Here is a 26,990-nt window from a genome sequence, read left to right on the forward strand (position 1 = left end):
TTGGGCAAAACATAAGCCTTTTTTAGAAACTCCCAGCCTAAGTTAAGTGGGATCAGGAGGAGAAAATCTACATTATGATTATGTGCTGGGCACTATGTTAAGAACTTCACTGACAGGAATTGGCTGTGTCCCCACCCATATCTCATCTTGAATTTTAACTCCCACAATTCCCACCTGTCATGGGAGGAACCTGGTGGGAGATGATTGAGGAAGCACGTAGATTCTGAAGAGCCATTCAAACAATGATAGGCTGAAGTACCACAGACAAAAAATATTCCTGAGGGTAGGCAGACTATTTGTGTGGGAGGAGTTACCCACCTGATGCATTGGGAGTTGGTTGTGTCTATAGTATTGCTAAATTTTACACAGGTGAGGTTTGAGGTATGGGTTATTTCCAGATTGGAGACAAGAGGTATTACTAAAACGGAAGTGGTGCTTATTTCTGTGCTGAAGTTCAGGTACAGGGATTGAAATGTACGGCCTGAAGTGCAGGGGGAGGTACATCCAACAGTTAGTAGGGATTTAGGCCAAGACCTCATGGAGCCCAGTGAGGGAGTGAGGGTAGTATTAAATAGGCTTACCAGGTGAGTATGGGTATGGAGGGTTTCATGTAGTTTTGAGAGATCTAGTCCTTTGTAGGGGTTAGGGGTGCTATGTACCACGGTCAGTTGGGAGATTACTTCCTTTACGTGTTTTTCTCTTGCCTCATCTTGAACTCCACCCCCATCAGACATACCGGTATGAGTGAAGTTAAGTCCAACAGACAGTGGCTCCAAGTCCTCAAGGACAACTAGGATTAATCATTTTCCCTGTCCAATAATGAGTATTTGCATGCATGCAAAGAGTGGCAGAGTTACAGCATTTGTGGGGCATATGGGTGTGGGCAGTGAAGGTGGGGTTTCCCTTAGATAAACTCCTATATGATGGGGCATCAATATTTCCAGGAAGCCGCATTCTCCATAGAAACTATTGGTAAGGGGAGCTACTGGTCGTACAGCGGCATGGAGCGGGTGCAGTGAGAGTGAAAGAGGGTAAGAGAACAGTAAAGAGAAAAATATGATAAGGGAGGGCCATGGGGTTTTACGATTTTAGTTACTTTCCTCACAGTTCTCTGACAGCCACAAGTCTCCTTTAGCAGTGAATATGCCATTCACATCATGAGATGTCCACACAGTAAGATCTCTTCCCTGTATTATTTTAACTGCTTCAGATACTAAGACTGCTACTGCCACCACTACCTGTAGACAAAGAGGCCAACCCTTTGCCACTACATCAATTTCCTTACTTAGGTATGCCACTGATTGCAAGCTCATCCCTCGGATCTGTGTAAGGACTCCTAGAGCTATTCCTGTTTTTTCTGTGACATATAAAGAAAAGTCTTGTCCTGTTGGCAAGCTTAACACTGGGGCTTGGGTTACGGCCTTCTTTAGGGCCTGGAAAGCCACTTCTGCTTCAGGTGTCCATTTTACTAAATGAGTATTGGCTTTCTGAGTTTCCTTAATTAGTGTGTATAATGGTCTGGCTATTTCATCGTACCTGGGAATCCATATTCGGCAGAAACCTGTTATGCCAAGGAATCTTCTTAGTTGCTTTAGGGTTTTGGGATGAGGATAAGCCAGTATAGGCTAGATATGTTCCTCACTGAGGGCCCTGGTGCCTTTGGATAATTTTAGCCCTAAGTATTTAACCTGCTGTGAGCAGAGCTGAGCCTTTGGTTTGGAAACCTTGTAGCCACAGGTAGCAAGGAAATTTAAGAGCACTTGGGTGGCTGGATGGCACAAGGTTTCTGAATTGGCAGCTAAAAGTAAATCATCCACGTACCGATGGACAAAAGTGTCCAGGTATGAGAATTGACTCAAGTCTTGGGCTAATGCCTGGCCAAATAGATGGGGGCTATCCCTGAACCCTTGGGGTAAAACAGTCCAGGTGAGTTCAGACATTGGGTTCGAAGGATCTTCAAAGGAAAACAAGAATTGAGAGTCAGGATGTACAGGGATGCAGAAAAAGTCATCCTTAAGGTCCAGGACTGTAAACCACTCTGCTTCCTCTGGTATTTGGGAAAGCAGAGTATAAGGGTTAGGTACAGCTGAGTATAGAGGGACAATGGCCTCATTGATAATCCTGAGATCTTGCACTAACCTCCACTCTCCATTGGGTCTCTGTACTCCTAAAATTGGAGTATTGCAGGGGCTACTGCATGGTTTTACTAGGCCTTGGATTTTAGGTCCTTAGCAATCTTTTGGAGTCCTTGTTGGGCCTCGGGTCTAAGGGGGTACTGCCTTTGGTAGGGAAAGGAGGTGAAATCCTTTAGTTTAACTTGAACAGGACGGGCATTCTTTGCTCATCCATATTGTCCTTCTGTTGCCCAGACTTCAGGATTAATTCCTTCCTCAAGCAGGGGACAACAAACTGGTGTTCCTTCTCCTATGTTCAGGTGTATAATGGCCCCTGCTTTTGCTAGAATGTCTCTCCCTAACAAGCGAATGGGGCTTTCAGGCATAATTAGAAAAGCATGTGAGAAGAGTAAAGCTCCCCAGTCACAAATTAGTGGCTAGGAGCAGTATCTAGTGACTGGCTGTCCTAGGACCCCTCGGATAGTGACAGATCTGGAGGACAGTCATCTGGGACAGGAGAGTAAGACTGAGAAGGCCGCACCAGTGTCCAGGAGACAGTTAACCTCCTGGCCCTCAATGGTCAAGCACACCCGGGGCTCTGTGAGGGTCACAGCATGGGCTGGCGCTTGCCCCTGGTACCCTCAGTACCTTGCTGCTGGATCATCTGGTTGGTGGCTTCTGACTCAGAGGGCCTTCTTCCCCTGGGGCAGTTGGCCTTCCAGTGATTCCCTTGACATAAGGGGCATGGATGAGGGGGCAGCTTATTTCTACTTGGACAATCTTTTTAAAAGTGTCCTTGTAGAATACACTGGAAGCAAGCCCTATTAGGCATTTGATTTGCTCAGCTTTTCCCTGTTTCAGAGCCTCCAAAGTCCGCTTGCCTGAGGGCCATGACTAAAGCGGTGGGCTTTTTTTTTTTTTTTAATCCCGTTTGTCCCATTCCACCTGCTCCTCCTGATTTCTATTATAAAAAACCGAGGTTGCCAAGTTCAATAGGGTTTCTAATTTTTGCTCGGGGCCTAAGGTGGACTTTTGAAGTTTTTTCCTAGTGTCTGCAGCTGACTGAGTGATAAACTTATCCTTTAAGATTAGTTGGCCTTCAATAGAGTCAGGTGACAGGGAGGTATGCTTCTTCAATGCCTCCCTTAGTCTCTCCAGAAAGGCGGTAGGATTTTCTTCCTTTCCCTGTGTTATAGTGGACATCATTGAATAATTCATAGGCTTCTTCCTAGTTTTCCTTAGTCCTTCTAGCATGCAAGTTAGCAAATGTCTGTGGCACCAATCTCCATGTTCTGATTCTGTGTCCCAGTGAGGGTCTACACTGCTGGCCTGTGGGGAATCGTTCTTTCCTCTTTGTCATCCTATCATTGACCTGACTGAGATACCAGAGATCACCAAACTCTCTCTCTCTCTCTCCCCCCACCTCTCTCTCTCCCTCCTGCCTCTGTCTCCCCTGCCTCTCTCTCTCTCTGTCTCCCCCTGCCTCTCTCCCCCTGCCTCTCTCTCTCCCCGTGCCTCTCTCTCTCTCTCTCTCCCCTGTGCCTCTCTCTCTCCCCTGCCTGTCTCTCCCCCCACCTCTCTCTCTCCCCGTGCCACTCTCTCTCCCCTGCCCGTCTCTCCCCCCGCCTCTCTCTCTCTCCCCTGTGCTTCTCTCTCTCCCCCGCATCTCTTTCTCCCCCATCTCTCTCTTTCTCCCCCGTCTCTCTCTTTCTCCCCCGTCTCTCTCTCTCCCCTCCGCCTCTCTCTCTCCCCCCTCCGCCTCTCTCTCTCCCCCCTCCTCTCTCTCTTCCCCCGCCTCTCTCTCTCTCTTCCCCCGCCTCTCTCTCTCCCTTCCCCCGCCTCTCTCTCTCCCTTCCCCCGCCTCTCTCTCTCCCTTCCCCCACCTCTCTCTCTCCCTTCCCCCACCTCTCTCTCTCCCTCCCCCGCCTCTCTCTCCCCTGTGCCTCTCTCTCTCCCCCTGCCTCTGTCTCTCTCCTGCCTCTCTCTCCCCCCGCCTGTCTCTCCCCTGTGCCTCTCTCTCTCCCCTGCCTCTCTCTCTCTCCCCTGCCTCTGTCTCTCCCCCACCTCTGTCTCTCTCCCCATCTCTCTCTCCCCCATCTCTCTTTCTCTTCCCTGTCTCTCTCTCTCTCCCCCATCTCTCTCTCCCGTCTCTCTCCCTCTCTCCTCTCTCAGCCATTTACAAACTTGGGGCCCTGGCAAGGGTGGTGGGGAACAGTCCCACATAACTGCCCATGTCGAGAGCTGTATACCTAAATTGGGAGGGACACCAGGGATAAGACTCCCTGGGTTTATCATCTAGATGCCTAAGGACGCAGCATAGAGCTTCCTTAGATCCCTTTGGAGATACAACTTGTTAGAGGAAATGAAAGTCTGAACCATTAGTACCTAGGAGGCAGGGATCAGAGGAAGTAGATTCAGAGGTAAGGAGAATTCTGGGGCTACACTTTCAAGAAGTGTCGGGACCTAGGAGGTATGGGTCAGAAGAAAAGGTAAGGCGCACACATGGGCGACTGTTGAGTAGAGACTTCTGGCTGCACCATGATCTCAACCAGCCAGGAGTTCAGGATGACAGCTTTCTACCTCTATCGGCCCTCGGCTTCCCCAAGAAAATTGAAAGTGGAAGCTGGCTCCAGGCAGACCAACATCCCCAACTCAGAAGGGTTGGGGGTTGTTAGAAAGGCCTTCCCCAGATAGCCTCACACCTGAGTCTTAAGTCTGGTGGCCATGCTAATCATTTTTAACTGGCTGACAGGTGCCCGGTATTTTCCTCCAATTCTAAGGAAGGACAGAATAGCAAGTGAAAGTGGTCCAATATTACTCACCACTTTGGAGGTCCCTTCGTGGTCACCAAAATGTTACTGGCGGGTCTTTGCTCCCAGAGCTCCCAAGATGGTGGCAGACCGCTTCCAAGATGGTGGCAAGCCTCATGTTCTCTGACCTGGGGTTCTTGGCCTCACTGATTCCAAGGAATGGAATCCTGGGCCATGCGGTGAGTGTTATAGCTCTATTAGAAGCCGTGGGTCATGGAAGAGAAGCGTGGAATCCAGTGACTAATGTTCAGCTTGATTAGGTCAAACCCAGGCACTTAGCCGTGCAGGAACAATGGCAAGCCTTTAGCCCGATTGGGAGGGGCATTGGGCGCCTCACTGGATCAGGAGCACAGCGGACACCCTGCCGCATCCGGAGGGATGGAAGTCAGTGGCGGGTCTGTGACGGCAGCCAGCAGCAGTGGTGCAGGGCGAGTGAAAGCTCAGCTCCAGCCGTAATAAACACGGACCAGAAGAGTGCAGTTGCAAGATTTAGTAGCGTGAAAACAGAGCTCCTACACAAAGGGAGAGGACCCAAAGGGGGTTGCTGTCGCTGGCTCGAATGCCTGGGTTTATATCCCAATCCTTGTCCCGCCCACTGTGCTCTCAGGCAATAGATGATTGGCTATTTCTTTACCTCCTGTTTTTGCCTAACTAGCATTTGCCTAATTAGCATCAGATGTGAGCTAAGTTGCAAACCCCGTGTTTAAAGGTGGAAGCAGTCACCTTCCCAGCTGGGCTTAGGGATTCTTGGTTGGCCTAGGAAGTCCAGCTACTCCTGTCTCTCAAAACCAGACATATATTATCTCAGATAAAAGAAGTCTTATGGATAGGCAGTTCCAAGACTTGTTCATTGTTTCAATTATACCAGCAAGAACACAAGCTCATTCTTCCTTTCCACTTTGCCTTCCTTAACTGCTTATTTTTATCCTCATTCTCATCTTTTCATATTATAAGATGACTACTCTAGCTCTAGATGCCATGGTGGTATTTAAAGCAAAAGTAAAGAGCATTAGTCAGGTACCTTAGTTGAAAACAACGAATTCATCCCTGCTAGTTTAAGCTTAAAAATGGTTTACAATCTATTCAGCACCCCATGAAACCACTGGGAGGTTGGTGGAAAACAGGGCCTAGTCTCAGCTCTCAGGAGAAAAAATCCCCAAGTCCCATCACAAAACAGTATGGAAACTACAGCTACTGCCATTGTTTAGCTCTAAATTTTAGGAATTTGTTTTCACTGAAACTTGCACTTACTTTCAAGTTGGTGCACTTGTAATTGTGGTTTTTGCCATTACTTTTAAAAGACAAAAACCGCAATTAGTTTTGCACCAAACTAATGCCACACCTGTTTCAGGAATTTCATCGTAGCCACAGGGTGACCAACTGTTCAGGTTTGCCTGTGACTAAGGGAGTTCCTAGGGACACAAGACTTCCAGTAGCAAAACTAAGGATTAAGATTAGTAGGTTACCCTATCTTTCTACCAGTATTAGTAGGTTACCCTATCTTACTATCACTAGGAAACTGCCATCATTGCCACTGATGATGCCTAAATCCAGATACCTCAACCATCAACCACCTATAACAGGGTGGAAACTCCACACAGAGGCTGTTTCCTAAACAGTGCTTCCTTTCAAATCATCCTCATGAGGGTGTCTGATGGGGCTTAGATTGTACGCCTGATCAGTTACAAGATCCTAACTTCTATGCTAGGCAATCCAAAAGATGATGGATAGTTACAAATATAAACATGTACTTCAAAGTGTAAGGGAGCAGTGACAATCAGTTTGCTCCTGTACCTTTTTGTTTTATCAGAAAACAGATTAGATTTCCCACAAGCTCTTGCTGGGAAAAAACTGGGTTACATGGCCAACTGTAGCTGCAGAGGAGATTAGAAAAATTAATACTGGGATTCCCAACTCCGGGGGAAATAAGTTGAAAATCGCATCGGAGGAGTCAACCAGTGATATCTACCGCAAGAACATCTGTGTGAATTTGTATACCTTTTCCTACATTGGCACAGGATGTTGTCTGTAGCAGTAGTTTTGTTGTTTTCTTTTTTCTTCAAAATATGGTATGCAGATCATCACTATCAGAATTGCCTCAGATTTTAAAAAGTCTCCTGATATTTTAAATTCAGAATACTAGACTCACTCTGAATGAACTAAGGCACAACCCCTAGGAGTGAAGGCCTGAGGGACTCTGCAGTGTTACAAAGCTTCTTAGGTAATTCTGAGGCATATTAAAGCCTGGGAATTACCAGTATGGAGAGAGAGCTTTCAAAATGTAAACGGGAGCTATATCTTGGTAGTAGGTTTCTAGGTGAATTTAGAATTTTATTCTTCTGTTCGAATTTTTGGAATGCACAAGAATAATTTTTAGAGCAGTTTTTAAATTTGCAAAGGCAGAATCAGACAAAACACTCATACTTTGATCAAAGTAAAATAAAGGAAAGAATGGATAAATATATGGATGACATGTATAAGGAAGGAGAACAAAACTCTATAGAAATAATGCCAAATTCCAAACAAAAACTGATGACACACAGTGAAAAAGTGATGGCACAAGAGAAACAGTTTTTATATAAATAACTGTACTCAGGCTGTGTGAAGACAGGCTGAATGATTTGGCCTAGAAGAGAGAACATTAAAAAGTGAAAAAGTTATTTAATAATATTTATGAATATTAAACATGCTGCATATTCTTATGATACATTATCTTTTGCCAAATCACTCCTCACTTCTTATTCTACTATTACAGCAAAGAAGTTATCCTGTATTTATAGCATACAGCTCCATGGGGGGGATAAGGCAGGTGTGTTTCATTTGATTGTGAATACAAAAAAAAATACATGAAAAACAAACCCTCAGAATATTAGAGGTTTTAGCTGTTTCTCATATTGTGAGTTAGAAACAAAGTTTTATCTAGAAGACTGGTGACTTGTCTCCTTCCTTCCACTGCAATCTCATAACTGCCTTACTCTAAACGCAATGGCACTCAGATGTAAATGGTTATTCAACACAGTGATAGATGCAACTCGGAAACCATGTCTTCTTAGCAATTTGCATCACTTTGTTTCTCTGCTTTTTCTCCCACTGCCCCTTTTACAGCTCTCAGCCGCAGTTCTTATAGCACATCATTACAATAATTTACTTGTACAGTTGTCTCCTCTACCAGCTGGCTGTTTCTTGATAGTAAAGACCATTCCTATTTATCTTTATATTTCCACTATTTTCATAGCACCCAAGACATTGTGATTGCTTCATAATAATGGTAAATGAAAAATATCAGTTCACTTATATGTAGTTTGATTCAGATGACTCTGAGTTTAGGTTCTAGTTCAGACACTGAAGAGCAGTGGAAACTTGGATAATTTGTAGCTTTATCATCTACGAAATATTGCATTATTATATTATGTAGTATAGTAGTATAACATATTATATCATGTTATACTTTATTATATACCTACTTAATAAGGAAGAAATGATATATCATTCAGAAATACTTCAAGCAGTACCTAAATCTTGATAAATGATCAAAGTTACACAATGCTTTTGGAAATTGGATGACATATTGATATATTTGTTTGTTTTTGTCTCTCCAACTAAAATAAAAGCTCCATCAGGATGGAAAATTGTCTGTCTTGCTCACCTCTTTATCTCCAGTATTTGGAATAGAGTCTGGCACATAGAAGATGCTTAATAAATATTCTTTGTGTAAATGAATTAATTGCGTTTTAATGGAAATATATTGAAGAACCTAAAAAATGCCTAAATTTTGTCCTACTAATAATGATCCCCCTCCTCTGTAGGAATTTCATACATTAGTTTCCAAAAATAAACCAAACAACCCCTTTATTAAAAGTTTTATTATAGGTGTTAAACTTTAGGTGTCCATATACAGACCTTTGAGATGGGACATGCAGCTGGATGGAGCTTGTGGGTGAAACTGGATGCCTTCCTCTCCATCTAATTCTTAAATTTGTACCAAGCTTTGTACAGCCATATGAAAGAAGAATTACAAAACAAAGGAAACAAGAAGGCCATATCTGCTTAACTTACTCCCTCAGTTGCATTAATGACAAAGGTATAAAAGGCAAAAGAAGTGCTTGATACTTTAGGTCAGTAACGTGCTCAAGTGGTACATGTGGCCTAACTGATGTTCTAAATTTTTTCTGGGTAATACATTCTCAATTGAGGGAGTAACAAGAACAGAGGTGGAGCTAAGGAAGTCAGATGCCTCCTCCTAAATTAAAAAATATATATATAGTGTGTGTTTCTATACATAAAAATGTCTTTGTATTTTATCCACATATCCTTTCCAGTTATTAAACACAGTTTGTTACTAAGAAAGAGAGTGACAGTCTATAATATTTCCTGGGTCACTATACAAATAAAATCTAAAAATAGACTCTTGCATATTGGAGATAAAAGAACTGTGACCTTGAAACTCAGTAATCAGATGAAATAAATCCTCAAAGCTCTTCCAGTCCAGGAGTTGGATGATCTTGCATCTTAACTATAAACGAAACAGCTTTCCTTAGTAAGTGAGCCAAGGTAAGGAGAGAGTCTCTGGCAAGTGCACAATAGACCTGGTTTTCAACTCTGAATCTAAAATACCAGTGTGGGTATTGTGATGTGGCCCTGGATGCATCAAGTAACCTCTCTGCTCCTCAGTTTTATCACTGGTGAACTGAGAGCTTTGGGCTTAAGTTCTAAAATTATGTGGCTCAGCAAAAATTGTCGTTGTTTCAGCTCCTTCTATTTAAAGAAATATAAATGACTTCAACCATCAAACTGTCAGCCTCCAAAAAGTAGATTTAAAATCTGTGTGATTCATGACTCACTTTAAAAAGAAAGTGACATTTCTACCAGATTTTTAAACCAGGTCAGTCTGATGGCAAAGCTATGCCACTAAATTGTCTCTACCGCAAAGGCAATGCGGAAATAAATGTGTTCCTCAATGGGCATATTTATTCTAGAGCACCAATTTATTCTTAGATAGGAAACAGTTTTCTTTTAAACTTTAAAGCTACTTTTTAATGTTTACTCAACAGTGTTGTTGTCCTAGACCATAGAGATACACGTTAAAATCTGCAAAGTCCTGATGAGTTTCCATCTCTCCTCACACCAAAGTATTATTCTCTCTAAGCATGCTTCACCTGCTAAGGAACAAAACTTGCCTTAGCCTGATATTGTTTACTACCTTCCCAGAAGCCTTTCTCCATTTCTGAAAGACCACCTTAGGGCTAGAAACAAATTGGATTCTTCGAACCTTCCTTTATTTTTTCAATTCTGGTTCTAAATAGGATTGTAGGGGTTATAATACAGGAAATTATTTGGGGGCGGTGGTGTTAGTCAGTTCCTCCCCTGGGGTTTCGAGTCCCTTTGGTTGGAGAAAGCCTCTAATGAGGACAAAGTAACTCGAACCTATTGAATTTTCACACAATGCTGTCGCACAGATTGTATTTCTAGATTAGGCCAATAACATGGCTCATTCATTCAGTATTAATTCATTCATTTAACTGGCTAGTGCCAAGAGTTGAAAAAATATTAATACTAATTAGCAAGTTGTAGGCACTTAGGAGGATGTGCCAGGTACAGTGAACTATGTGTTTTATAAACAGAATTTCATTTAATGCTCACAACACTTGATTGAAATAATTAATATTATTATCACCATTTACATATGAAGAAACTGAGATTTAAGCAGATTTAGGAATTTATCCAAGCAGAAAAAGTGAAGAAACCGAGCTCAATTTCAAGCAATCTGAGTTTATATCAAAATAAACAGAATTCTTGTCACTATGAGATGTACATCATTATCAGGGAACCAGATATTAAATATTAACTCTCTTATATTTGTTTCATTGTGATTTGATTGTAACAATCAATCGTTATATAATTGTGATAAGGGATGAAAACAGGTATTGTGGGTGATTAGATTCTATTGAGGATGTCAGAAAATGCCTCCCCGAGAAAGTGATACCTAAGCAGAGACACGGATGTTTATAAGGATTTAGTCAGGTAAAAAGTGAGAGTGGTGGTGAGTTTCCCAGGCAGAGGGACCCACCTCATAAAAGGTAAAGGAAAGAAGCAATAAGCATTTATTGATGGATTTGTGACAACCAGGCTATACGAAGCCCTTTACAAGGATTATATCTTTTGACTCTCATGGAAACCCTTCCAGGTAGATACCATTATCCTCATTTTGCTTACTCAGAAAGAGAAACTGGGCATAATTAAAGTAACGTAGCCTAAACCTTATATCCAGTAAGGATGGGCAGGTGCCTGGACCTGGACAGTCTAGCTCTAAAATTATATTCTTAAATATATAAATGCAATTTTTTAAGTGGGGAGGAACTTTGTGTATAACTGTCATGGCTTGAATAGTATCCCCCCAAAATTCATGTTCACCCAAAACCTTAAAATGTGACCTTATTTGGAAATAGGACCTTTACAGATGTAATTAGGGCCTTGAGAAGAAATCATTCTGGATTTAGTGTATGCCCTAAATCTAATGACTCATTATGCCCTTATAAGAAGAGACGGCACAAAAGCACAGAGAAGAAAGCAGTGTAAAGTTAGAGGCAAAGGCTGGAATGACAAATCTCTAAGCTAAAGAACTGCAAGGACTGCCACCAACCACTGTAAGGTAGGAGAGACATAGAATGATTTTCCCTCACAGAAAGAACCAATCCTACTGATACCTTGAGTTTGGACTTTTAGCCTTCTAAATTATGAGAGAATAAATTCATGTTATTTTAAGCCACTGAATTTGTGGTAATTTTTATGGCAGCTCCAGGGAACTAATGCAACACCCTTTACTACAGAACAGCCTTGTAACAAAGTTTAGGAGGTTTTATTTATTCAACCATTTTTACTGTTTATACTATGTGTCAGATATTTTGGCAAGAGTTATGAACAATATAGATTATGCAAATATAGACCCCATTTTCAAAGATTGCAAGGTAGAAACTGATGTGTGATATAAAAAATTTAGATAAAGAACAATAATTGCCACTCCCATATATTAAGTATACTTATGTGTCAGACACTGAGAGGTGGCTTACATGCATTATTTAATCTGAAAATGGTATATATAATTCTTTCCACTTAGATAAATAAAATGAGTCTTAAATAATTTGAATTACCTTCTCCAAAGTTGTGCATTTCTACCAATGACAGCATTAGATTCCAATTTCTAATGGGAGGATAAAGGAGGAAACTTAATTCAAGAAAATGTATCTGATAGGGTTTTGAATGATCAGTAATGATGGACACTGATAAGTGGAGGCAAAGACAATGTCATTATGGGTGAGAATAATAGTGAGCTTAAAGACAAAGGATCAGGGAATGGAGTTTCTGTATGTAATAGAGACTCCAGTTTGTCAGAGTGCATAGAACAGTAAGAGAGAAAAGTGAGAAATCAATTTAAAATTGTAGATTCAGACCAGTTGCTGACTAATAAGCAAATGTCAGGAGCTGGGAAATTTTTCCTTAAATAGATTAAAGTCCTGTAAAATTTTGCTAAAACAAGTGAATGATCAGGGTTTTCTTCAGGGAGATGAATTCCTCAAGAATGTGACAATGGACTGGAGACTAGGAGAGATTAGTGACCAGGTATCCATTTAGGGAGACAAATGCCACAAGAGAGGGGGACAAAATCCATTCACTCCTTGGAAAACAACTCTATGATCAAACCTCAATTATTCTTTTATTCAAAAAATACCTGTTGAGCCTTTTCCATGCTACCCAAAGAGGGTCCATCTGACATTGTCCTGTGTTCCCACAGTAACTTAAATGGACACTTTCACAATGTCTGGAGTCCTATAGATGAAGGACGAGGATATTCTCAAATTCCTTCCAAGAATTCACTTTGTTCAATATGCCAAGAACCTGGACACCCTCCACTGGTAACAAGCCTACCACTGAAGACTGGTCTGCAGCTCCCACTGTTCTGGCCACTGAATGAGTAGGAACAACGATTGAGAGGTGTTAAGCTGTTCTTCCATATGCTGTTAAACAGAAATATATGAATAAGTTCAACAAAAAATAAACATTCATTTCTTAAAAAAAAAAAACATTAAGCACTTTGCAGGGAATATATTCCATGTGCTGGAAATAGAATTCTGCATACGGTAGGCACAGTTCCTGCCATTTATAAGTTTTCTCTAGTTGACTTAGGAAGGCAGAACAAAAAACAAAGCAAAGAACCAACAGATACTGTGGCAACCAGAATAATAGCCTCCCAAAGATGTTCTCTTCAAGATCCCCAGAACTTGTGAATACATTACCTGATGTGCCAAAGGGGACTTTGCAGGTGTGATTTTGTTAAGGATCCTGAAGTATGGCAATTATTCTAGATTATCTGGCTGAGCCCAGTGAAATTATAAGGGGACTTATGGGTGAAAGAGAGAGGCAGTAGAGACAGAGGAGGAGATGTGATAATGAAAGCAGACGTCTTGCTTGTTAACTCGGAGGTTGGTTGTATCACAAGTCAAGAAATGCAGGCAGCCTCCAGAAGCTAAAAAGGCAAGGATATATTCCCTCTAGAGTGTCCAGAGAATGAAGCCCTGCTGACAGCATGACATTAGCCCAGGAAGCCCTATGTCAGACTTCTAATCTACAGACTTGTGGCAAATTTGTGTTTTAGTAAGTTACTTAGTTTGTGGCCCTTCCTCACAACAGCAATAGGAAAACAAAACAGATAGTAATTAGAAAAATAAGATACTTTAGATAGTGAAAAGTTGTAGAATAAAGAAAAGTTAAAAAGGATAATATGATAGCAAACCAGTGAAAAGGCACTAACACAGGGACACACTTGGCCTGTGTTCATGGTATATAAGAGCAAGAAAGAGAAGAGTTAAGATGATGATGGAGAAGTAGCCTTCCCTAGAAATAAAATGCTTCAAAATTCTGCATGTGGTCATCTAGTCTTAGTCAGAATAAGGAAATTTAACACTTGTATAAACTGAAATATTAGAATTTTTCTGTGTGTTATGTTTCTTTTAGCCCTGAAAAAGAGATGTTTGCTTCTATGTTTACACATAGAAGTAAAACAATTATCAATCAAGTGTGAAAAGGAAAAAAATCAATTTTCAGATACACGAGTTTTCAGAGTTTACATCTCTTTTTCAGGGGTAAATATGAATGGACACAGAGTTCCAATTAAATCTGGAAGATTGAGCATATGAGTTTGTGTCCACTTTCTCCTGGGACTCACTAAAATGATAGAAAAGCAGTTTTTGAAAAGCTATGAAAGAGAATGGCAGATGAAGCCATAGCATTTAGAAGATGTTAACAGGATTTTAGAAGATGGAAAGCTGACGGATAAGGGGAAAGTGACCTAGATAGTGAAGAAAGATGAAACCTAAATGCCTTTTGGCAGAAAGCAATTCAAGTCATGCACAAACCATGGAAAAGCTTGGGAGTTGGAATTACCAGGATTGTGGGCCCAGGCTAAAAACAGGATGGTTTGCTGCAAGTCTACATGAAGAGGACTTACACCTAGCCCAGACTATGCAGTAAGACAAACAGACCTCACCAATCATGGTAGAAACAGAAGCTTATCTCTTCAGAGTGAATCACGTAAACCCAGTCCTCAAGAACAGCAGGCATTGCTGAGGTGTGGGGTTGGATGCCTTACTGAAATCAGGAAGAAAAATCGAAGGTTGCATACTGAATGGTAAGACTCTATCCTCAACTTCCTTTCTACTTAGTTTCTAGAATGCTGGTTGCCAGATGTCTAATCATCTCTAGGAAAGAGGCTGAAGAACTCCTATATAGAGAAGCTTATCAACTTCAGAAAAAGGCATGAATTTATTGCTATCTGAGGCCCACAAGTAAAGGACTGTCAAAATAATCCCAGTTAACAAATCTTATATACCCACAGTGCCTTGCTCTTATATACAAATGAACACCTAAGGACCACTAAGTATTTAAGGAAAGACCCTAAAAGAAGCTAAAACAAGCTAATCAAACATGGGAAAATTAATTGGAAGAGACCAGAAAAAAATTAAAATAGTAACAACTAAAATTAACATTTTCAGGGAGAAAAGATAGTGTAGCCTTAAAACAAAAATAAGATGCTATTGAAAAAAAGAAAGATTAAAAAATAAACAGCTCTTGCATATTAAAAATATATTAGTAGAAACTTCAAAATTAATGGTTTGGAAGAAAAAGAAGAAAATTTTTGAAAAAATTAAGCATCAAAAGAAATAAACAATTAGAAATAAGATTTTAAAAACTGAAGATCAATCCAGAATGGCGAATATCCAACTGACAAGGTTTTGAGAAAGAATAGAGAAATTAGAGGAAAGGAAATTATTAAGGAGATGATGTAAGAACATTTTCCATTTTTTTTTTGTTTGTTTGTTTTTTGTTTTTGTTTTTATTTTTTTTCCCAAGGGATGAAGTCTTGCTCTGTGGCCCAGGCTGGAGTGCAGTGGTGCAACCACAGCTCACTGCAGCCTTGAACTCCTAGGCTCGAGTTAGCCTTCCATCTCAGCCTCCTGAGTAGCTGGAACTACAGGCACCCACCACTACAACCAGCCCATTTTAAAAAAGTGTACACATGGGGTCTCACTATGTTGCCCAGGCTGGTCTCAAACTCCTGGCCTTGAGGAACCTGCAATCCTCCTGCTTGGCTTCCAGAAGTGCTGGGATTACAGAAATGAGACACCGTATCTAGCTCACTTCCAGATTTGAAGGATATGAGAGGGTCGGCCTCTGAGAGACAAGCACAAGATTACATTTTAAAAAGCCTCTTCTTAAGATGTCATAAATTTTCTTAACCCTAGAGATAGAGTATCATAAAGTCTCTAGAGAGATTTACGATTAAAAGCATACATGAGGCTTCAGGAATCAGAATGGTACTAGTCTACCCAATAGCAATACTAGAAGATAACAGGTAATGGGACAAAACTGACAAAATAGAAAAACATTATTGTTCTTAGATTCATAGAAGCAAAACAGCTATCAATCAAGTATGAAAAGGAAAAAAAAAAATCAATTTTCAGATACACAAGTTTTCAGAGTTTACATCCCAGGCCCCTGTTTAAGGAAACTACAGGAGTATATAATCCAGAAAGTTATGGGATCCAGAAAGCGAGGGGGTGACATAGAAGAGAAGTGGAGGGGATCTCCCAAGATGATGGTGATGGAGGACCCCAAATCAACAACTGTGTAGCAGGATAGAGGGCGTTTAGTTCAAACTGAAGTAGAAGGGCAGAGAGCTCCAAGAGGAAAGCATCTAGTGAAAAAAAGTAGAATTGATATATTATCTGACAAGTCTGATTATATTAAGGGAATTTTATAGTTCTCCTGGATCATTTTGAGGTGGGTTAATGACAGAAATACAGAAACATAAGGTAACATTAACAAATAGAAATGCAATTATAAACCCTGGGGTGGGGAAATGCTATATAAAAAAGGAAATGGACTGGGCACGGTGGCTCATGCCTGTAATCCCAGCACTTTGGGATGCCAATGCAGGCGGATCACCTGAGGTCGGGAGTTCAAGACCAGCCGTACCAACATGAAGAAACCCCGTCTCTACCAAAGAGAAAAAAAAAAAAGGTTGGCGTGGTGGTGTATACCTATAATCCCAGCTACTCGGGAGGCTGAGGCAGGAGAATCGCTTGAGCCCGGGAGGCGGAGGTTGCGGTGAGCCGAGATCACGCCATTGCACTCCAGCCTGGGTAACTAGACAGAAACTCCGTAAAAGAAAACGAAAAAAAAAAGCAAAAGGAAATGAAAACAAAGCAACCCTATGGTTGGGTTGTAAGCAATAAGAAGTGGGCTACTTGAGTTACAATTTTAACTCTGCCACTGAATTGTGTGACCTTGAGACAATTGCTTAACAATACTAATTGTATAAACAGAATTTTGATTTCAATAAAACTAGTTAAAAGATAGAGGATAGGATGTGAATGTCGGGGATGGAAAGAGAGATGAAGAGGGAGAGACAGTTGAAAGAGAGATAGAGAATTAAATTTAGTTCCTCATCTTTCATAGGAAGATGTCAACAGACATGTAAAATATTGAAAGTCAACGAACAGGCCGGGCGTGGTGGCTCACGCCTGTAATCCCAACACTTTGGGAGGCCGAGATGGGCAGATCACAAGGTCAGGAAATCAAGACCATCCTGGCTAACACGGTGAAACCCCGTCTCTACTAAAAATACAAAAAATTAGCCGAGTGTGGAGGTGGGCCCTGTAGTCCCAGCTACTCTGGAGCCTGAGGCAGGAGACTGGCCTGAACCCAGGAGGCGGAGCTTGAAGTGAGCTGAGATCGCGCCACTGCACTCCAGCCTGGGAGACAGAGCCAGACTCCGTCTCAAAAAAAAAAAAAAAAAAAGAAAAGAAAAAAAAGAAAATCAACGAATAGCAGCATAATGATCATAATAGCTAAAACATACAGCGTTAATTCTATGCCAAACACTCCTTTATGCTGTAAGATACACACACGTGCGCGCACACACACACACACACAAATTTTCTCCTCTAAAGCGATGACTCCTAGTAGCAAGAGTTGCCAGTAAATGGATTGAGTGAAATAACTGCTTCTTCTTTTTTTTTTTTTTAAAGTATTTCACCTTTACATCTTGGTACATGTATTATTTTGAGAAAGTAAAAGCTAATTGAGACATAAAATATGTAATGGATTAAAGAAACTTTTCTGTTGTCTTACTTGCTATGTTAGAATAGTGCTTTAAATTCTGTGATTGCCAAAAATTTCTCTTCACATAATGGATGTAATATGAAGTAATGGGCTATTGAAAATAATTCTCCCCTCTTTCTGTCCCCTCTTTTGATATTGTAGCCTCTTAGAAAGCACTGTAAGAAACCCGAGCTCCACTCAAATGGCAGGGCTACTGTTTGACACATTTTGGATGTTCTGATTTTGTTTTAAGATCCATTTCAACCTTAAAGACTTTCTCTAAAAGAATAATACAAATGGTAAAAATGTAAATGTCCATTTGCTTACAAATTTCAACTCAAGAGGAGTCCATCATATCAGATCCATGAGAGCATCATCTGCCCTGAGGAGGATATTTTTACATAATGGGCATCTTCTACCTTGGGCTAAAATGTAGGATGAGTTAGAGTTGCTGATTGATACCATTTGTCATTGACATTTTTTTCTTTTCTACTCACAAATAAGTGTGTTAATTTTTTTCCTAATGTTTGGTGTTATAACAGAGATGAAATAGGAGAGTGGGCTAAGGATAAAGCAAATATCCTTATTATAAATCAAATGAACCCACAGAAGCAATTTCCCAATATTATTTGAGTTACGATTTTCATATTGATTTAAGCAAAAGACCTGTGTTCTAATTCCAGCCCTTGTGTACCATCTGTGTGTATATGGGTAATTTTCCCCACCCCTGAATGAGTTGAAAGCTTCATCATTATATGGGGAAGAATAGTAATTTTAAAAAATATTTTATCAGCTAACACACAGACTATTGCAATGGTCATCTTCTGAACTAAAACCCCTGCCTCCATCTCTCTACCCAATTTATCACATAGTTGCCTGATTAAACTTCTAAGAATGTTACTGTCCTTGAGCAAATTATTTATTTGCTTATACATTTTTAAAAAACTTTTCAATTGACCATAAGAAAAGTTTTACATTCTTAGTTAAAAATCTGAGTTCTCTGAGAGCAAGATCTGTGACTTACTTATCTCTGTTTCTCTGGTACTCAACAAAGACCGGGCACATAGTCATAACTTAGAAATGTTAAATAAAAATTTAATTTAACCCTAAAATTCAAGGCTTTCTTTTGTCTGGGCCTATTCTTTCTTTCTAATACTTTGGTTTAGAATTACTCTTACATGATTCTTTCCTCTTTCCAGTGTTTTAACTTTGTATTCTAAACTTTGATTCTGTTTATCCATCCTTCTTCCATTCATTTATCCATCTATCAAATATCTAAAGGATGATATATCAAGATGTTCGCATTTGCAAGCAGTAGATATCTTAACTCAAACTGGCTGAAATATTAACAGAAAAATGTCATTGGCTGAAAAATTTGAAAAGTCAGTCTAGTTAGCAGGACTTAGTGTCGTTTGATCAGACCTCTGACTCTGTTTCTCCATAAGGAACGAATTGAATGAATTAGCACTCAATATCAAAAGAGCTGCAATGAGTGAACAAACACTCTTCATGCTATGCAATAAGATCTGCCCAGTATGCTTCTCACCACAGTATAATGGTGTCTTTACCATTATTATAAGTCCACAAGCAGGCACAAAAGAATAAGTGGTGGCACGCTTTTTCAGTGATTTATCAGCAACCTTTTCTTCTTTGTACTAGGAAAAAAGGCCACATACAATGTTAATATCATGGGAAGCATGTTTACCCACTGATTTTCAAATGATTTAAGTCAATGTTGTAGGTCTGCCTTTTAACTCAAATAAATATTTTTCGTTTTTACCACTAGCGGGCAGCAGTTAGGAAATATTAATAGTGACTACTATTGTATATATTTTTTTACCTCTTCAAAATTATAATTAGCTTGTGCTTACAGCGGTGAAATATTCTGGATCTTTTATGTTCTGTTCTATTCCAAAACTATGTATTTAGATTTTTTGCTTTGGAAAATTTTACCCTAAATGTTATAGAAGTAGAAACCATCCCACCCTCTGCCTCTAGTAGAGTAAGTAACTTAGAAAATAGTGTGAAATTAAACAGAAACTTCCTAGATGCTAATAGCCAAGTGGGAAATTTCAATAATATTAGAAGCCTTCCTTCAAAGAAGATGGTATTTTACCATTTGTGACAACAAAATGTATGGCAGCCAAAGGAAGAGAATCAGTAATCTAGGATGGTAAAGGCAAAATAGGATCCCTATGGGACCTAGATAGACATTTCAATTAGGTATGTTTTGTCATGTCATTCAATTTATTTATTTATCTGTAAAACACCGTACGTCCTGGTGGTCTCTGCCTTGATCTCCTTCATACTGAAGTGTATATTTATTTTACTTCCTTTACAGATTTGCAGTTCTTTTCTATTCTTAGATTTTTCTCAAACTTTCTGTATACAATTAAAACTTTTACTTTAAGAATTTTTTTTAGAGTTGAAGACACTGATGCTTTCAAAGTCTTTCTGTAATTTATCATGTTGCTCTACGTGTATAGTGTGGAATTCAAAGTTAGAAATATTTTTCTGGCATTAGAGGAGCAGCATTTGTTCTCCATTCACTTTAAAATCTTAATTTTCCCAAGGCACAATGGCCTGTAGTGAATTAAGGCTATTTTCTCCCATTAATGCAGAAATAAAAGGGTAGAATAAGATGTATACACTTTTCTCATTGTAAATTATAAATACAGAGTAGATGCACAGAGAAAAGGAAACATTGCATATATGACTACATACATGTGTTTTTGGTAATTAAAATATATGTTTGAGGTAACAATATAGGCTTATTTAATACTTCCTGCTTCCAGTTTTTTAATCAGACAGTTCACAGAGAAGTCAAAAGACGTCTTACACCAGGCCACTAAATATAGCAGTGTAAAGTATTGGGCTATGTGCACAGATTGTCGTTTTTAAGACAAACTGAATTATTTCTTCTCTTTCCAGCTCTAAGGAAATTATATAATGATAATTTCTTAGAAATTGTCTCTGAGGCTAACACTGCAAAGTAAAATCAAATAAAGCTGAACTAAAAATTGTCTGCTTAAAAACCCTTGGTAAGAAAAAAGTCACAGATGAATTCTAGGGCTTATTTGTATAGCTTCGAACTGAAAGAAGTGTGTAATTATTAGGCTGAACATTTACTTAGGAATTCAAAGTCAAATAAAGCCATACTGTAAAAAAGCTTTTCAAAGCAGTTTTGTCTTTAGGAATGTCCACTCTCTACATATAATATAAAAAGCTATAAAACTGTATTGAGTCCATTTATTTACTATATCCCAGAAAAGGGCCTAGCCAACAGTAGATAAAAATACCTATTGAGTGAATATTTTTTGAAATAATAAACTGAAGATGTTGCATTCAAAATAGCCTCAGAAACAGTCACCTTAAGGTTCGTTTTTCTCTTTTTGAGGTGGGGTCTGGGTATATTTCCCAGATGCACTTCAAACTTCTGGGTTCCAGCAATCCTCCCACTTCTGCCTTCCTAGTAACTGGGACTACAGATGCACACCACCACCTTGAGGTATGTACTTGAGGTATTTCTTAAAAATCAGTTTGCCTTAAAAATACCACAGAAATAGTTTTTGAATGATCTTAAATAGAATGCCTTTAAAACATGTTTGTATTTTTGGTAATAGGGAGCAAAACATCAAATTTATGTTACTATTTCAAAATATTTATAAAATTATCACAATTTATTCTATTGTATATCATTTTTACCTATGTGATTACCACACCATTACTAAATCTTAATACAGTGAAGTTTCCTTTAGTACTAGTTTTTTGGTTAACTGGGGGATTCTCAATCAACTTATTTCTAAATACATTTAGTACTAAGACAACTGCAAATGTGTTGCCCACAAAAAAGACTTTATAGTTTCAGATGTAGATTTAATTTAACAAATATCCAAAAGAAGAAAGAAGAAAGAAAGAGAGAAAGAAAGAAAGAAAGAAAGAAAGAAAGAAAGAAAGAAAGAGAAAGAAAGAAGAAAGAGAGAGAAAACAGTAGGTGTAATTGCATAATTAAGGACCACAATTGTCTCTAAAATATTAACATATCCTTCCACCAGAGGGCAACATTTGCAAGACATTTAAATGATTACTCAAAAGTATTTCCTCCCACAGGGATATAAACAAATAGAAACCTATTACATTGCTGTTGGCTAATACCTTATGTACATCTTGAAAAATAGTATGGATACAATTATTTAAACAATTGCTTATAAAACTCAGTGTATACATATAGTGAAACAACAAATAAGGTAACTCTTCTTTAAATATGTAAAAAGAACTTTCAGAAAGCACATTTCTACATATTAGTATTTTTTCAGTTTATTATTAATCATTTAACTCAAATATAATAAAAAAAACTTAGGATGGGAGAAACAAAAGAAAATAAGTTTTACATCTTTTTACATCTAAAGACTTTTCATCTAAAGTCATGAAAAGGCATAAAATTTTACAAGCAGAAAGGATAATAGAAACCACACGATACAAGCCTTCATTTGTGCCAGTAAGCAAACTGGCTTATTAGTGTTCGATGATTGATACAAAATTGCAGAGATGATAATCAGTGGAACCAGGACCCAAACTCAGGTAAACTGATTTCACATTTCATACTCCGAGATGTTGATGTTCAAAATGTGATCCTTAGGCAAGCAGTTGTAGAAACGTGTTACAGTGGTTGAATCTTGGGCACCACTCTAGACCTATTGAATCAGAATCTGTATTTTAACAAGACCTTAAACTGTGAGAAACTCCTCTAACCTGAGCTGTTTTCTCATCACCAGTTACATGACTTCAGGTAATTACTAAATCTCACTTTCCTCCTCAATAACATGGGAATACAACTATTTTAGTTTAAGGAATAATTATAAGGAATAAATACGTTTATCATGTAAATAAAAGCTACTCATAAATTGTAATATTGCACACATATTATATTAGTTATATTCAGTGAAAACTTCTCCTTTTATTGTTAACAGTTCTTGACAAGAGGGACAATTCTTCCCCTAGAAGAAAAGTGGTCTAATAATGCAATTCAGGACTTGTTATAATTGGATGTAAGTTATTGGGGATAAAGGAGGGTGTCAAGAGAAAGGAAGCCTTTTCTGATATGCTTAAATTAATATCTTACATATAACTACTAGTGTTTCTTTGCATAAAGATAAATCTGATGAATTTAGGGCTGCAAAAGTACACGTTCAGCGTTTGCAATTTGTGTCCACTCATGAAGAAAATCTGTTGGGTTAGCAAATGGTGTCTGAATATATGTTTCTTACACTGGGAGCAGCTATGGGTTTAAAGCCAGCCTAAATGACATTCTTCAGTCGCAGGTGGTCTAGTAACGTTTCTTGTAATTTTCCACACATAACATTTTTCATTGTTTATGAAAATACCATTAAATACACCCCTTCTGGCTAGGGTGCTATCCAAATACCACCACTCCACCCTGCCAAACTCCACTGGGCTGCCATCATCTTTATAGAACTACATTTCTTTTAACTATTAAGACAGACAAGAAAACATTGTCTCTTGAAATATATTCTGGACATTTTCACTCCCGGGCTGGGTTATTTAACTTGTGTAATTTCACCCATAATTGTTTGAAATTGTATTTTTGTGTCTATCTCCCAAGTAGCTTGTGAGATATTTCAGGGAGAATTCCCAGATCTAGTATTATTCTTGACACTCAATGAATATTTTTAGAATGAGTAAATCAATATTACCAGTTATTCTGATTCAGTTGCTCACCCTATTATCAAGAGAGTGGAAGAGAGAGGAGGATGACATTCATTTCAATAAAGGTGAATATAACTGTTTAAAAACAATGCTTTTGTGTTGGATTTATATTGCTTAGTGTCCCCTCATATTTGTGTATTGGAGACTTAGCTATCATGTTTACTGATGGTTTAGATAGATCTCTAGTCATTTGTGGTGCAACTTAAGCTGGAGTGCTTAGGAAAATCATTTACATATCATCACCCCAGCTTCACAAATATTTGTTGTAAATTCTATTTTTTTGTATAACTTCCCAGAATTCCAAAATCATTAATATCTCTAAATAAATATAATTTAATGAACTTAGTTATTAAAGATTTGAAAAATACAGATATTTTGAAAACACCTAGATAAGTCAAGTCCTGAATAGCTTGAATCTTTTAATCTTTTTCTTTTCTTTTTTTTTTTGCAAGGAAATAGTTTAATGAGGGTTTTTTTTTTGTCTCCTTATACTTGATCTTGAGAAATAGATAGTATTCTGAGGCATCCCATGGTTTTAGAGAAAAATTAAATTCACTGTTTTATTGAAGATACATATTTTAACACAAATTTATCAAAAAAGATAAAAATGTCTTCATTATCCTTTTCTTTATTATATTTCACAATGGAAATAATTTGACAACTATCAAACTTAATAATGGCAGATGGTTTTAGCTACTTTGACATTTTTTTCCAGCTATCCATTCAGTGAATACATAGCCATTATATCATTTGAACTATTCAGGTAATATTCTTATTTGATTCTCAATTTAGATCCATATTTTTGAGATTTTGTCTCAGGATCCTAAGTAAAATTGACTCCCTCTGTTGGCTTATGTGACATCCAAGGTTTTGACCTTGAAAATGTGGTTCAAGGCCAGTCTGTTCTGTAAGCATTGGCCTGAATTGTACTTAAGAAGTTTGTGATTCATGTGAAAGAGATTAATAATTTACATTAATCTAGCAGTTTTCTTGCTTGCTTAATGAGATAAATTCATTGATGCTGTACCTGTATATATAAAGCCAAAACTCTTACATGAATGTCTTTCAAAATTTATGCTTTAGGAGAAGGACATACAAAGAAAAATAAAATAAGATTTGAATGGAATATATGTAAATTAAAATAAATCTTTTTAAAAATAAATCTTTAAATTATCAATTACAATTTGTTGGCAAGCACAAGGTATAGCCACATATTTCATCAGTATATTGGTATTTCAGTAGTGTATTGTAAATTAGTTAAATAAAGATGCTTAAAATTCCAAGGAATTTATATTAAATTAACTGTATTTTATTTAATCAACTTCACTGAGTTTATAGCTATTCTTTTTTCTTCTCTCCATACCTCCCACCTCTTTTTCTTTATCTCTCCTTTCCTCTATTCTTCATTCTCTCCCTTTCTTTCTTTCATCTTTTTCCTGTCAGGAGTTAAAACAAACACATGAACAATGTAATTATGTATTTTGTGTGCACATATTTTATATTCAAGGGAGCCTAGGTGTCTTGGAACACCACAAGCATAAGTTAAATATGTTGAAATCTTTCTTCCCTGCAATACTGGCATCAGCGTGCTGGACAAAACGTAGCAAACTAGAAGTAACTTGTGAATTTTTAATAAAGTTGTCTTCCCTAGCAGAGCTAAATGCACCATTCTCCCTGCAAACTCTGGAGATGATGACATCTTCCCAATGGTTTCCATAGCATCCGTTCCTGAAGAGCCCCCGTATGGTCCTTGGTCAGGGCGATCCGCCCAGCTCCCCTAGAAAGTTGGCAACCTAGCTAGCCAAAAGAAGAGTCCCCTATTCCTGAAACTTACTCTGTCCGTGGTGCTGAAACATTGTACCGAGACCCGCCCAGACGGGCGCTGTCAGCCGCTGAAAAAAAAAATCTTCCCCGAGGCTGCCCAAATCAGAACTGTGTATCTTTTATTTACTCACGTCCTCAAAGAGCAGCAAGCCTTCTCCATCTTAATTTGACTCTACCGCAGAGCAGACTTACGCTGGCGTGATGGGAGGAGATCATGGGCAGAGAGGAAAAACTAATAGCAGCATTGCTCACCTGAGACCTGAGATGCTCCCATGAGTTTTGAATATGCTCTGCTCCTTACAGCAAAGACACCATTTTTAAAAGTACCATTCTTTTGACTTTGCTGTTCCCAAGGCTTCTGTGATATTCCGGCCCCTCCGTTTAAAAGCCATCAGATTTGAGAGCAATAAGTCTTCAAAACCGGGAATTTACATTGTTTTTCAGCTGACCGACTTCCAGGAAAAGGACTCAACCGCATCTACCCAAATACCGTGGCACTGCTTGCGCTCTTTGCCACCGGATCCTCCCCTTCCAATGAGACTTTCTGATTGTGTCTACCAACTCTCCTATTAGGAAACCCGTGGGTTGCATGCAGCTATTCTGTTGTATTCTCATTCTCACTCTCCCTCCCTTCTCTCACTCTCACTCTTGCTGGAGGCGAGCCACTACCATTCTGCTGAGAAGGAAAAGCCCGCAACTACTTTAAGAGATTAAGACAATATGCGCAATCCTCGCCTTTCCTAGCAATCACTATTTAAATCTGGCAAGAACTGACAACAGTCTTTGCAAGAATGGAATCCGTAAAACAAAGGATTTTGGCCCCAGGAAAAGAGGGGCTAAAGAATTTTGCTGGAAAATCACTCGGCCAGATCTACAGGTAAGACAAAGCGAACACTTGCTTACCTGGGGCTCAGCATGAAAAAATCTGCAGGGCCGTTTCCGTAAACCCTGGTGGCTCAGAAAGATTGTAATATGATCGGAAAGTCTTTTTGTTGCCCATTGCTTGGAGCGGGGGTGCTCTGGAAACCTGCTTATTAATGCAGGAATGTTGCACTAAATGAACCTGTCTGGTGTGTGTGTGTGTGTGTGTGTGTGTGTGTGTGTGTGTGTTTGATTTTTGCTTTGGTGCCTGCAGAGTTTTTGTCCTTTACTACACAGGATTTATCTTCTTTACAGTTAAGAAATGGCCAGCCCCTGCTCAAACAGCGTTTCTTTTGGTGCTTATAGATACCCCGAATTAAATTCCTTTGATGCAGACAAATGAATATAAAACACAACCATCTAAAAAAATAACCAAGAAATTCCAAAGAGTAATGGTTTATATATATATATATGTTATATATATATGTTATATATATATGTTATATATATATGTTATATATATATGTTATATATATATGTTATATATAGTTATATATATATGTTATATATATATGTTTTATATATATATATATATATATATGTTAGAGAGAGAGAGAAAGAGAGAGGTCTCAGCTTCAAAAGCATAGTAGAGAATCCCCTAGTGAAATATGTCTTCTGTATTGAATGAAGAAGAATCAAAATATATCAATAATTGATAGTTGAAGCAATTCCTTTCTCTGAGCCTGAAACAATGTATATGCATTTTTAATTATTTTCATCTCCTAGAGTCTATTTCTTGCATAGGAAATGTCAATGCCTGGAAGAACAGCCATAAATATAACAAGCAACATTACTTTGAAAGTCCTAGAAATGATTTAATTATTTAATCCTCCTGTAGTCACTATACTAATTATGCTGTAATTTGCAAAACTTTAAATCATTTCAAGTATGTTATATGGATACAGCTTTTCTTAATAATTAGAGCAAAATCAAGACG

The 26,990-nt window shown here is 38.6% G+C and overlaps 1 protein-coding gene and 1 long non-coding RNA gene across 2 annotated transcripts in view; one reads left to right on the top strand and one right to left on the bottom strand.

Moving 5' to 3' along the window:
* SLC17A6-DT (SLC17A6 divergent transcript) overlaps positions 1–25,612 on the bottom strand; it is a 54,493-nt gene extending 28,881 nt beyond the window's left edge. Inside the window, exon 1 of the long non-coding RNA NR_186351.1 lies at positions 25,385–25,612. This is a non-coding gene — a long non-coding RNA (SLC17A6 divergent transcript). The remainder of the gene's footprint in view (positions 1–25,384) is intronic.
* Positions 25,613–25,770: 158 nt separating this feature from the next.
* The window catches only part of SLC17A6 (solute carrier family 17 member 6), a 41,123-nt gene continuing 39,903 nt past the window's right edge, over positions 25,771–26,990 (top strand). The window contains exon 1 of the mRNA NM_020346.3: positions 25,771–26,009. Within this exon, the coding sequence (NP_065079.1) occupies positions 25,924–26,009 (86 nt within the window). The 5' untranslated portion in view covers positions 25,771–25,923. The remainder of the gene's footprint in view (positions 26,010–26,990) is intronic.

The sequence above is a fragment of the Homo sapiens genome, chromosome 11 (genome assembly GCF_000001405.40).
Source record: "Homo sapiens chromosome 11, GRCh38.p14 Primary Assembly".
Lineage (NCBI taxonomy): Eukaryota > Metazoa > Chordata > Mammalia > Primates > Hominidae > Homo > Homo sapiens.